The 12,928-nt window shown below is 41.3% G+C and overlaps 1 protein-coding gene across 5 annotated transcripts in view; it reads right to left on the reverse strand.

The window, feature by feature from the left end:
- GPLD1 (glycosylphosphatidylinositol specific phospholipase D1) overlaps window positions 1-12,928 on the reverse strand; it is a 71,319-nt gene that overhangs the window by 40,325 nt on the left and 18,066 nt on the right. For 4 of the 5 annotated variants that reach the window (XR_007059240.1, XM_017010753.3, NM_001503.4 and 1 more), the window contains 7 exons: window positions 11,888-11,985; window positions 10,828-10,938; window positions 9,326-9,374; window positions 8,289-8,343; window positions 2,874-2,981; window positions 2,619-2,646; window positions 2,387-2,526 (listed from right to left, as the gene is read on the reverse strand). Coding sequence is in view for 4 of the 5 variants with exons in the window: in XM_017010753.3 (XP_016866242.1) it covers window positions 2,387-2,526; window positions 2,619-2,646; window positions 2,874-2,981; window positions 8,289-8,343; window positions 9,326-9,374; window positions 10,828-10,938; window positions 11,888-11,985 (589 nt within the window). In the remaining variant the exon portion in view is untranslated. Of the gene's footprint in view, window positions 1-2,386; window positions 2,527-2,618; window positions 2,647-2,873; window positions 2,982-8,288; window positions 8,344-9,325; window positions 9,375-10,827; window positions 10,939-11,887; window positions 11,986-12,928 lie in introns of those variants that run through there. The other variant, XM_047418657.1, reaches the window with a different exon arrangement.

The raw sequence follows: 12,928 nt of genomic DNA on the forward strand, positions 1-12,928 counted from the left end.
TTGGAAGGTTTAGCAACTTGTTCCAGATAACTCAGTAGTGAGTGGCAGATCCCTTAAATTCTGTACAACCACGGCAGTATGCACCTAAAAACCCAGGTCCACGGGAGAGCTTGGGGATTTTAGTTGAGGTTTATTTCACTATTAAAAGTGGCATTCATATGAGATTGCTATCCCTGCCAAATTGTTACTCACCGATTGTTAAAAACAAGTTTATTATGTACCAAGCTAAGGTCGAATTTGTCATCAAAGGGAATTTTGTTTCAAATCAACACAATATATAATTATGGTTAACACTGTTTGGGTACTAGCAAATGTTTATAAGGGTAAAGGAATATCACCCAGTATAATATTCTGGATCTACATTCTGTAGGCCATTCCAACTTATGAACAGCTAACTCTGCTATGATCCTGACCTGGAACAGTCTCCCAGGCACAGGTCCCGCCCAGAGAACCCTCTTTCCCACTGCTGGTGGTACAGCCTAAGCTTCCCGCTCTGCCCTTTCCCCGATTCGGGGGCTGCCCTGTGCTTCCTAGCCACACCCACATCTCAACCCGGTTCAGGTCAGTAGTGGGGAGAGGCTGCATGTCCAACAGCATGATCAGAAATGGGTTCTCTGGGCCAGGCATGGTGGCTCACGCCTGTAATCTCAGCACTTTGGGAGACAGAGGTGGGTGGATCACTTGAGGTCAGGAGATCGAGACCAGCCTGGCCAACCAACATGGCAAAACTCTGTCTCTACAAAAAATACAAAAATTAGCCAGGTGTAGTGGTGAGTACCTGTAGTCATAACTACTCGGGAAGCTGAGGCAGGAGAATTGCTTGAACCCAGGAGGTGGAGGTTGCAGTGAGCCGAGATCGCACCACTGCACTCTAGCCTGGGCAACAGAGCAAGACTCTGTCTCAAAAAAAAAAAAAAAAAGAAAAGAAAAGAAAAGAAAAGAAAAAAAAAGAAATGGGTTTTCCGGCCACGCATGGTGGCTCATGCCTGTAATCCCAGCACTTTGGGAGTCTGAGGCGGGTGGATCACTTGGATCTCAGGAGGTGGAGACCAGCCTGGGCAACATGGTAAAACCCCATCTCTACCAAAAATACAAACAATTAGCCTGGTGCAGTGGTGTGAGCCTGTGGTCCCAGGTACTCGAGACTGAGGCACAAGAATCACTTGAGCCCAGGAGGTGGAGGTTGTAGCGAGCTGAGATAATGCCACTGCCCTCCAGCCTGGGTGACAGAACAAGACCCCATCTCAAAAACAAAAAACAAAAACACATGTGCTCTTAAAAAAAAAAGAAAAAGAAAGAAATGGGTTATCAGAAGGGCCTTGGCTCCCTCTGATCTAGGGGTAGTGTAAGACTCTGTGAGAGTCTAATGATCTACTACAGCTAGAAGTGGGGACAATCACAGTCTACCTTATCTATATTTCGGCTGAGTTTCTGATTAATTCTTGTCCTGAGCATGCTTAGGAGAAGAAAAGGAACTGGAGGTTCAGCAGCTGTCCCATCTGGGCTAGATGTCAAATTTCAACAGAATGTTTTACAAATGCATTTATTTCTCATTTTACGTTGGAGTGTGTGTCGGGGCATGTAGCTATAGCTCTATTTGCTTCTGTTTTTTTAGTATTAGGTGAGGTATCCTTTGACACCCTGAAACCCTGAGAGTGTAGTCAGGGTGGAGAGGTGTGTCACCACAGCAAGAACACAGCCACTCTGGGACCTGTGGAGACCTGGCACTCCAGCCCCCAGCATGGGTTTTCCCAAAAGAAACAGATGGAGGCTGGGTGCAGTGGCTCATGCCTGTAATCCCAGCACTTTGGGAGACCAAGGCAGGTGGATCACTTGAGGCCAGGAGTTTCAGGCCAGCCTGGCCAATATGGCGAAACCTCATCTCTACTAAAAATACAAAAAAATTAGCCAGGGATGGTGGTGCACACCTGTAGTCCCAGCTGATTGGGAGGCTGAGGCACGAGACTCCCTTGAACCCAGGAGGCAGAGGTTGCAGTGAAGCCGAGATCGTGCCACTGTACTCCAGCCTGAGCAACAGAGCAAGACTCTGTCTCAAAATAAAAAGAAAGAAACAAATGGAGCACCACCTGTGGAGGCTGATTCCTGCCTGGCTGAGCCATTTCTCACAGACCCCAAATATTGCAATAACTGTCTCTCTATTTCTAAAACACGAGCAGCATCAACCAAGCCAACTGGATGGGAACCAGTCAAGTTTATAAGATCACTGAGTTTCCATTCTTTCCCTCTTTGAATAGGTTAGAAAAGCACTTCATGAGATTGTTTTGTTTTGTTTTTATGTGATCAGTTGAAAAACCTGAGAGTTATGTTGGGGGATGGGGTAAAAAGGCAGAGAGTGATTGGTAATAGAAATGCAATATGAATTCACCTGGTCCCATTCTCCAACATGAAGCTTGTTAGATGGTAAATATTAGTGGACCAAAATGCCATATCATCCAGTCCTCCAAGAAAATACTCTTGGAATTGTTCCACCAAAAACGGGGACTTTGTAGAGTAAGTGGGATATAACTATGGCAGAGAGAAAGAAAAAATAAAATGAATATGGTACTATTCCTGGTATCTTTATAATCCTTTAAGATTTGGAAGAATGACGCCTTTACCTTGGAAACAGCTAGCATCTCACCATACCTGCAAAATAAACAATAATTTTGGCTGTGAGTTGCAGTTTGTAACAGAGAAATGAAGCAAATAATGAAGAAAAAGTTCCATCCACCCTTTTCCACCGTCATGCAACTGCCTTTGAATAAGCAGAATCCATAAATCCAAAATCCAGTCTCAGGAAACAAAAACATAAAAACTGTGCAAAGGAAGTCACAACAAAATCAGCTGCAAATTGTCCTCTGAGTTACGCTTACATTTCTAAGAACTGGATATGTGAACAATCAACGATTACATTTTCGGTGATGACTTTTCGACCATACAGTTTCTCATAAATTCCCAGTAGATCTTTGACTGGCACATACCTGAAAAATGCAGAATAAAGTAAGAGTTGTTTTGATTCTGAAGCTGAAAATAGTAACAACAGCAGCAGCAGCTACCAGTTATTCCGTGATTATTTTGTGCCAGGCACCATGTAAAAGTCTTTACATGCACCAGTTATTTAATCCTAGCAATGACCTCAGGTGGTTAGTACTATCATATTCCCGTTTTACATAAGAAGAAATGATTAAGGCACAGAAAAGTTAAATAATTGGCCCAATGATGCAGAGCAAACAACTGGTAACTTAAATCAAATATTTATGTAGGTATACTCAGATTGGAAACTAACTATAACGTACAAAAAGAGTGGTTAATTTTGTGAATTCAGAGTTCAAGAAGTAATTTAAAGTATTTTCATGGTTTCAAGTTGAATTGAAAAGAATTATTTTAAAAACACTATTATAAAAATGTCTCCTCACCCTGACATCTTAATTTCAGAGTATATAAAGTATACAAAAAAGTATACCAAAGTATAAAAATATTGTAAAGGAAAATAAATCTCAGAACCCCAAAATCACTAAACTAAAGGGAAAAGTCAAGCTGGGAACCGTGTAGGGCAAACCTGCCTCCCAATCTATTTCTGTGTGGTTTCTGTGTGGTTGTTTTTGTTTTCTGTTTTTTGTTTTTTTTTTGGAGATGGAGCTTCGCTCTTGTTGCCCAGGCTGGAGTGCAATGGTGCAATCTCCGTTCACCGCAACCTCCGCCTCCCGGGTTCAAGCAATTCTCCTGCCTCAGCCTCCCAAGCAGCTGGGATTACAGGCGTGTGCCACCACGCCCGGCTAATTTTATATTTTTGGTAGACATGGGGTTTCTCCATGTTGGTCAGGCTGGTCTCGAACTCCCAACCTCAGGTGATCCACCTGCCTCGGCCTCCCAAAGTGCTGGGATTACAGGCGTGAGCCACCACACCTGGCCCTCCCAATCTATTTCTAAGTGAGATTGCTACAAAGATTAAAAGCTACATACCTCCCTCACAATTTGCCCACAAGGAAATTCATGTGGGCAAAGGACAGATAGAACTCAAATATCATCCCTCTGCTCACCTGAGACAAATGTATATCTGATTGCTTCCTTTGCCTAATTGTTTCACTAAACCAGACTACAGCATAAGTGACACTATTACTGTAAACTGCATTTTCAGTGAAAGGCTAATTGGAAATTCGGAAGGATGTCTCATAGCTACCTATGACCTGGAAGCCTCCTCCTCGCTTCGAGTTGTCCCATCTTTCTGGACTGAACCAATGGACATTTTACTTATTTTTTTATTTTTATTTTTTTTTTGAGATGGAGTCTCACTCTGTCACCCAGGCTGGAGTGCAGTGGTGCGATATCGGTTCACCGCAACCTCCGCCTTCCAAGTTCAAGCAATTCTCCTGCCTCAGCCTCCCAAGCAGCTGAGACTACAGGCATGCGCCACCATGCCTGGCCAAAACAACTGACCTGTAAGGGGACTGAACCTGCGACCCTGGTGTCATTAGCACCACAACTGAGCTAACTGGCCAACAGCCATTTCGCATTTATTGATTGATGTCCCAAGTCTCCCTAAAATGTACAGATAACCAAGATGTGCTCCAACAGCCTTGGGCACATGTTGTCATCCGGACCTCCTGAGGCTGTATCATGGGTGTGTCCTTAATCTTGGCAAAACAAACTTCCTAAATTGATTGAGACTTGTCTCAGATACTTCTTGGTTTACAGTATAAAGCAATGAAAAGAATTCTAAATCAGGCTTTTGGTTCACAAATATTAGTTATTTCCATTGCAAAGAGCAGCATTTAAAAACCAGATTTATACTCAATCATCTTTTAATTTAAAAATCCTCAAAAGTCAGGAAACAACAGGTGCTGGAGAGGATGTGGAGAAATAGGAACACTCTTACACTGTTGGTGGGACTGTAAACTAGTTCAACCATTGTGGAAGTCAGTGTGGCGATTCCTCAGGGATCTAGAACTAGAAATACCATTTGACCCAGCCATCCCATTACTGGGTATATACCCAAATGACTATAAATCATGCTGCTATAAAGACACATGCACACGTATGTTTATTGCGGCATTATTCACAATAGCAAAGACTTGGAACCAACCCCAATGTCCAACAATGATAGACTGGATTAAGAAAATGTGGCACATATACACCATGGAATACTATGCAGCCATAAAAAATGATGAGTTCATGTCCTTTGTAGGGACATGGATGAAATTGGAAACCATCATTCTCAGTAAACTATCGCAAGAACAAAAAACCAAACACCGCATATTCTCACTCATAGGTGGGAATTGAACAATGAGATCACATGGACACAGGAAGGGGAATATCACACTCTGGGGACTGTGGTGGGGTGGGGGGAGGGGGGAGGGATAGCATTGGGAGATATACCTAATGCTAGATGACGAGTTAGTGGGTGCAGCGCACCAGCATGGCACATGTATACATATGTAACTAACCTGCACAATGTGCACATGTACCCTAAAACTTAAAGTATAATAAAAAAAAAATCCTCAGAATAAACAAGATAAAAAATCGCAACCAATAAAATCTAACTTTAGTAGGTTTCTTTTAGTAGGTAAAAGAAAGAAACAATTGAGAGACTCATTTTTTATTTTATAAGAGCACTGGAATGGCATTCCCAATAAAAATAGCTTAAAAAGTCAGACAAAATAACAAAAAATATTTTTTTAAATGAATCACCAAGCTAGCAGGACAGCAGAAATTTTTCAAAGGCCAAAAACAACTAGAAACAAAAAAACCCTGGGAGGTAAGCAAATGGGACAACCAGCTTTTGCCCTGAGAACGTGTGCCACACCCTACACGTTAGGTTTGGAACCTGGACGGTTTTTTTTTTGTTTGTTTTTTTGAGATGGAGTTGGAGTCTCACCCTGTCGCCCAAGCTGGAGCGCAGTGGCATGATCTCGGCAGTTCTTAACTTGAGCCTACTTATTCTAGCACCATGGAATATCACCAAACATGACCAGTATAACTCCAGTCACATCTGATAAAGGAGACTTTAATGCAGCAACTATTATTAGAGATAAAGAGGGATTTTGCCTCACGATAAAAAGCTCAATTCACAAGGTATCCTTTTGAAATTGAATGTACCTAACAATATATCTTCAAAATCTATATAGCAAAGCAAACTCTGACAGAACTACAAGAAATTGAAAAATCTACCCTCATGTGGGAGATCTTTGAAACTAATTTCTCTCTTAATAATCAGTAGATAAACCTGATAAAAAGTAAAGAAATAAATAGTGATGTTATCTTACTTATAACTTACAAATCTTTTTATTTGAATGGTAAATTTTTTTTTCTTTTTTTATTTTTTGAGACGGAGTTTTGCTCTTGTCTCTCAGGCTGAAGTGCAATGGCATGATCTCAGCTCACTGAAACCTCCGCCTCCCAGGTTCAAGTGATTCTCCTGCCTCAGCCTCCCAAGTTGCTGGGATTACAGGCACGTGCCATCGTACCAGGCTAATTTTTGTAGTTTTAGTAGAGACAGGGTTTAACCATGTTGGCCAGGCTGATCTCGAACTCCTGACCTCAGGTGATTCACCTGCCTCACCCTCCCAAAGTGCTGGGATTACAGGCATGAGCCACCGTGCCTGGCCTCAATATTTCAAAATTGTTAATTTTCCAATTCATCTCTAGATTCAATAAACACTTAATCAAAATTCCAGCAAAGTTTTTCTTGGAACATGACAACTTGAGCCTAAATCTTATTTGAAAGAACAAAGGCAAAGAATAGGCAAGGTACTTTTGAAGAAAAAGAAGGACTAGTTATAAGATCTGCCCTAACAGAGCCCAAGACTTATTATAAAGCTACAGCAATTAAAATAATCAATATTGTTCAGGGACCAAAAGGACATATCAGAAAGCCCAGAAACTGACCCATACATATACATAACATTTTAATTTATAACCCAAAGGGGGTGCAGTGGCTCACACCTATAATCCCAACACTTGGGAGGCCAAGGTGGGCGGATCACTTGAGCCCAGGAGTTCGAGACCAGCCTGGGCAACATGGCAAGACCTCATCTCTTACAAAACATTAAAAAATTAGCCAGGTGGAGGCTGAGGTGGGAGGATCATTTGGGCCTGGAAGTTGGAGTTTGCAGTGACCCAAGATCACACACCACTGCACTCCAGCCCGAGCCACAGAGTTAGACTGGCTCAAAAAAAAAGACAGAAAGAAACAGAAAACCAAAACAGAGAAGGTATTGTAGATCAGCAAGGAAAGGGGAGACTATTGATAAATCATTCTGGGACAATCCATTATCTCCAGAGGAAAAAATAAAATTAGATTTACATCTCAGAACATACAAAAAATTAACTCCAGTTAAATCAAAGACATAAAGCTAAGATATAAAACTATAAAAGCTTTAGAAGTCCATGTAAGAGAATAACCATTTGCCCTCAAGGTAGAAAGGTTTTCTTTCTTTTTATTTAAGAGACAGGGTCTCACTGTGTTGCCCAGGCTGGAGTGCAGAGGCGCGATCATAGCTCACTGAAGCCTCAAACTCCTGTGCTCAAGTGATCCTCCCACCTCAGCCTCCTGAGTAGCTGGGACTACAGATGCTGTGCCACCACACCTAGCTAAGAACGGATTTCTTAAATAAGACATCAGAAGTACACATTACAAAGGAAAAACTGATCTATTCAACTACATGAATATTAACAAATCCTGTTTGTCAAGATACACAATAAGTGAAAGGACATACCACAAACTGTGAAAGACATTTGTAATAACTAAGTGACAAACTGACAAGAGAGTAGAAGCCAGAATATATAAATACTCACAAATAAATAAAAAGGATAAACAACCCAACAGAAAAATAGACTGAAAACTGGAAAAAGTTTTCACTTAAAATCAAACACAAATGATCCATAAAATAGAAGAAAAGTGTAACCTCATTAGCAATCTGGGAAATTCAAACTGCAACCTCAATGAGATACCATTACACACAAACAGGCTGGAAATTTTAACAGTTGGACAATACCAAGTATTGGAGAATGCAGAAGAACCAGAATGATTATACAAAGCTAATGGGAGCATAAGTTAAGATGATCATTTTGAAAAAGTAAACTATGACTCAGCAACTCCACTCCATTCAAAATTGAGTGGAATTCAATTTCTCAAAGAATCTAAACTATGCTAATATGCAATTTTACTTTTCAAAATTTACCAGTGCAGAAGACTTCTAATTATATTGTCAGTTATATTTTCTAAGAAAAAAAGTCAAGGCTCTAAATGCCACTTAGATACCACATATTTAGATGTACATTGCTCTTACCAGCGTCGTGCAAGGTAATTAAAATTAAATTCAAACTGGCTCAACACATCTCCTCCTAGGGTATGAGAAAAATATTGACATTTGGTGGATTAGTGACAAACATAGCATGCATCTATTCAACATGAGGTCTGACAAGTTGGATTATTAGTTTTTCACATTATTACATGTTTTTGTTCATTGTTTTAGGTAAAGGCATGCCTTTTTTTTTTTTTAGACGGAGTTTTGCTCTTATTGCCCAGGCTGGAGTGCAATGGCGTGATCTCGGCTCACTGAAACCTCCGCCTCCTGGGTTCAAGCAATTCTCCTGCCTCAGCCTCCCTCGTAGCTGGGATTACAGGCATGCGCCACCACGCCCAGCTAATTTTTGTATTTTTAGTAGAGGTGGGGTTTCACCATGTTGGCCAGGCTGGTCTTGAACTCCTGACCTCAGGTGATCCACCTGCCTTGGCCTCCCAAAGTGCTGGGATTACAGGTGTGAGCCACCACGCCAGGCCGCCTTTTTTTTTTTTTTTTTTTTTAAGAAAAAATTATCTTTTAAAAATCTTAGTTAGTGAAACATATAAATTAAGAAAGAACTGGCCATATAACCAAAGGTGTTTTTTGTTTTACTTTAAGGAAATATCGACCATAAGGGTTTAATAAACACCATTCACCACCTAGTTTAAATATTTAAAAGCAATTTACTACTACAGGCAAAAGGTGGAGTTTACTAGTTTAAAGCTAAAGTATTAGGAAAGTAGGAGACACTAGCTAATGAATTTTAACCCAATGTATAAGTAAAGTTTTTCTAAAATTATGACATGTCAACAACAAAGTGTAGAATTTTTTAACAAAAAAATACATATAGACACAAGTTTTTAGAAATACATCTCTATGTTAAATGAGGTACATCTCTACTCTAAATGAACTGCAACATTAAATAGAAAATACATGCAACCAGCAAAATATTAAAGACACACATATTTAAAGCACAGTAGTGATGTCATTATAAGTGAACTATACCACGAGAAAATTTAGCAAATGTAAATAAACAGTACCAAAATCACCAGCCGAATGAGCCTCTGAATAGGAGCCGTGAAAATCAATCTAAGAAAGAAAGAGAACCATCTGGTGTGTATTACAAATTGTAGCCCCAACTCTTACTTCCACAGTCAAGCAAGTGGTGGGAGATGACAGCTAACTCAATGAACTGCTGAGGACGCATAATAGACTCAATTTTCACACTAACATTTTATTAGTAAAAAAATAATAATAATAAAAAGGCAGGGCGCGGTAGCTCACGCCTGTAATCCCAGCACTTTGGGAGGTTGAGGCGGGTGGATCACCTGAGGTCAGGAGTTCAAGACCAGCCTGGCCAACATAGTGAAACCCCATCTCTACTAAAAATACAAAAAATTGGCCGGGCATGGTGGCGGGTTCTGGTAATCCCAGCTACTTGGGAGGCTGAGGCAGGAGAATCACTTGCACCTGGGAGGCAGAGGTTGCAGTGAGCCGAGATTGCACCACTGAACTCCAACCTGAGCAACAAGAGTGAAACTCCATCTCAAAAACAAACAAACAAAAAAACAACAACAAAAAAAACCACACCCACATACACACACACACACACACACACACACACACACATATATATGCAGCTGAGTTGGATACATATGTCTGGCAATAAAGCTACTACAGACAACTCTGCCTTATAGGATATATATAAAAATCTCTGAGTTGAAGTTGAAACTTCTAACAGAATGTAATTAACATAAATTAAGGACCAGGGGGCCTTCCAGAGGCTAAGTCATCAGGTAAGATCACAATTTTCAGTTTGAGGACATGGCATTTTCATATAGAAAGTTAAAAAGAGAGAGAAAAAGTCCAATAAAGTAGAAGTATTACTTTTAAATAGAACCAAGTGGCAGGTATTCATATCCTTCTTAAGATATACAGCTTGAATAAAGCATAAGATTTATCAATTATTTTTGTGACTAAAACAAAACATCACATCTATGACTGTTTTCAGTACACATTAGCCACTCTGCTCTTGTGGATGAATCTACCCAGTTGGCAAGAAGAATAAAAGGAATGAATTGGACCGGGCGCGGTGGCTTATGCCTGTTATCCCAGCACTTTGGGAGACCAAGGCAGGCAGATCATGAGGTCAGGAGATCAAGACCACCCTGGCCAACATGGTGAGACCCCGTCTCTACTAAAAATATAAAAATTAGCTAAGCATGGTGGCACGTGCCTGTAATCCCAGCTACTCAGGAGGCTGAGGCAGGAGAATCACTTGAACCAGGGAGTTGGAGGTTGCAGTGAGCCAAGATCGCGCCTTCGCACCACTGCATTCCAGCCTGGCAACAGAGTGAGACTCCATCTCAAAAAAAAAAAAAAAAGGAACAAATTGGAAAAGATGGGACTCTAACCAAACACTGCTTTGGGCAGAAGTCTGAATAACCTAACATTTTCCTTTCTTTTAAAACGGTCAGGTTTTGATCTTAGGTGAGACAGTATCACTCCCATAAAGTCATTCCCCATAAAGGGATGTACTCACAGCTCCCATGGTCCTAAGGAATCCTTGTTCAAGGCCCAGACTATGCCAGCTGACATCTGCCGCCATGTGAGAAGTAATTCCAAACAAGAAAGCTACCAGTTTCTCTGTGTCCTGCCAAACAAGCAAATTAGAGTCATGTGTGTTTGGGTGATTTTATAATAACAATCCTATTAAAAGTTTTAATAAATATAAATTCATTTATGTTACTGAGACCTAACAAAAAATTTCAGGCAAGTAAATTGCAGTTTCTAGTTATTAAAAACCACATAAGAGGCCAGGTGCAGTGGCTCTTGCCTGTAATCCCAGCTACTCAGGAGGCTGAGACACAAGAATTGCTTGAACCTGGGAGGCGGAGGTTGCAGTGAGCTGAAATTGCACCACTGCACTCCAGCCTGGGCGACAGAGCAAGACTCTGTCTCAAAAAAAAAAAAAACCACACACAGGCCGGGCGCAGTGGCTCACCCCTGTAATCCCAGCACTTTGGGAGGCCTATGCAGGTGGATCACGAGGTCAGGAAATCGAGACCATCCTGGCTAACATGGTGAAACCCCGTCTCTACTAAAAATACAAAAAAAAAAAAAAAAAAAATTAGCCGGGCGTGGTGGCGGGCGCCTGTAGTCCCAGTTACTTGGGAGGCTGAGGCAGGAGAATGGCATGAACCCGGGAGGTGGAGCTTGCAGTGAGCTAAGATCGCGCCACTGCACTCCAGCCTGGGTGACAGAGCGACACTCTGTCTGAAAAACACAAAAACAGAAACAAAACCACACACACACACACACAAAACCATAAGGACTTTTGGAAACGTTTTACGATGTGTTGGAAGTGCTTTCAGATTAATTACTATTGGAGCAAAATGATGAAGTGATGTATCCCAAACCGTGTTTATAAGTAATTCAAGTATTAGCTAGCCATCTACTATGTCCAAGCAATGTGCATGACACTGAAGGTGGAATGGTGGGCAGCCCTTACAGAGCGGTACAAATGGGGTCAATGCGGGTGCAAACACAGTGCATGGCAGGTTTGGTGCTAAATATTTTAAGGATTGGAGGACCACGCCTACCTTCTCCCAGGGAAGGGGATAGTTCTCTCGGATATAATGAACGCTTGCATTAAGAAACGGAGTCCAGTGAGTGCTCTCAGACACATCATGGAATTTTCCTGACAAAACAAAAGCAGGGCTCTAGATTCTCTCTTAAAAGTTGGAGAGTCTCAATCAAATCTTCCACACCACCCGCTGCGCTGCTGTGTCCCTTCTCCTCCTTCCCTCCATGCCCCTCAGTTTCTTCTGTCGACTTTCAAAAGAAGCCTCTAAAACGGAAGAGCCAGCTGAGATTTTGGAATACGCGTGGTACTGTCTGCCTGATGACTAAAAAGAGCCCTACAGTAAGAGGGACGGAGCCTAAACTGGCTCACGGAATCGCAAGCCCGGCTACCTGGTTAGAATAGAGGCTAGAATTGTTTCCATTTCTGTGCCCTAAAACTAAGGAAACAAGTTGTACTTTGGTTTTGTTTATTTGTTGGGATTTTAAAAAGTATCTTCCTTGTCCCTCACAGTCAGCCTCCTTAAGAGTACAAGAAATAAAAGCAGATATTTCATATGCTTTCAAGCATTTGATTTTATAATAATTATTGCAAAATGGCACAGGCCCCAGTGAGCATTTTATGCAAGTGTCGTTTGAGTGGGCCAGTGCGTGTCCCATGTAGCTCTTTATTCCCACAAGAGGGGTAGGAAAGACAGAACTGGCCTCTGTGCTAAACCTCCAAGAGCCACAAATGCCTCATGGAGTGCCAAATGTTACGAGGGTAACTAAAAGCAAAACTGCCGAGTTCAGATCCCTCAGTTCAATTTTTCTATGCCGTTCCTAAAGTAAAAATTGCCGAACCAGTTTTAAATCATTGGTTTTTTTTCAAAATGATTTTCAAAGGAGTTAGAATCAAGACATTTGATTTGCTCCCACAGTTTTCCTAGAGATAAAGCTTTAAACAATTCTTGTTCTCCAGAATACAGTAAAACTCCAGAATTAAATATGGCAGTAGCTCTTTTGAACAACTTCAACTTAAACAAATTGGCAGATTAACTGAAGCTTTCTGATCCCTCTGT

This window comes from Homo sapiens, chromosome 6, assembly GCF_000001405.40.
Source record: "Homo sapiens chromosome 6, GRCh38.p14 Primary Assembly".
NCBI lineage: Eukaryota > Metazoa > Chordata > Mammalia > Primates > Hominidae > Homo > Homo sapiens.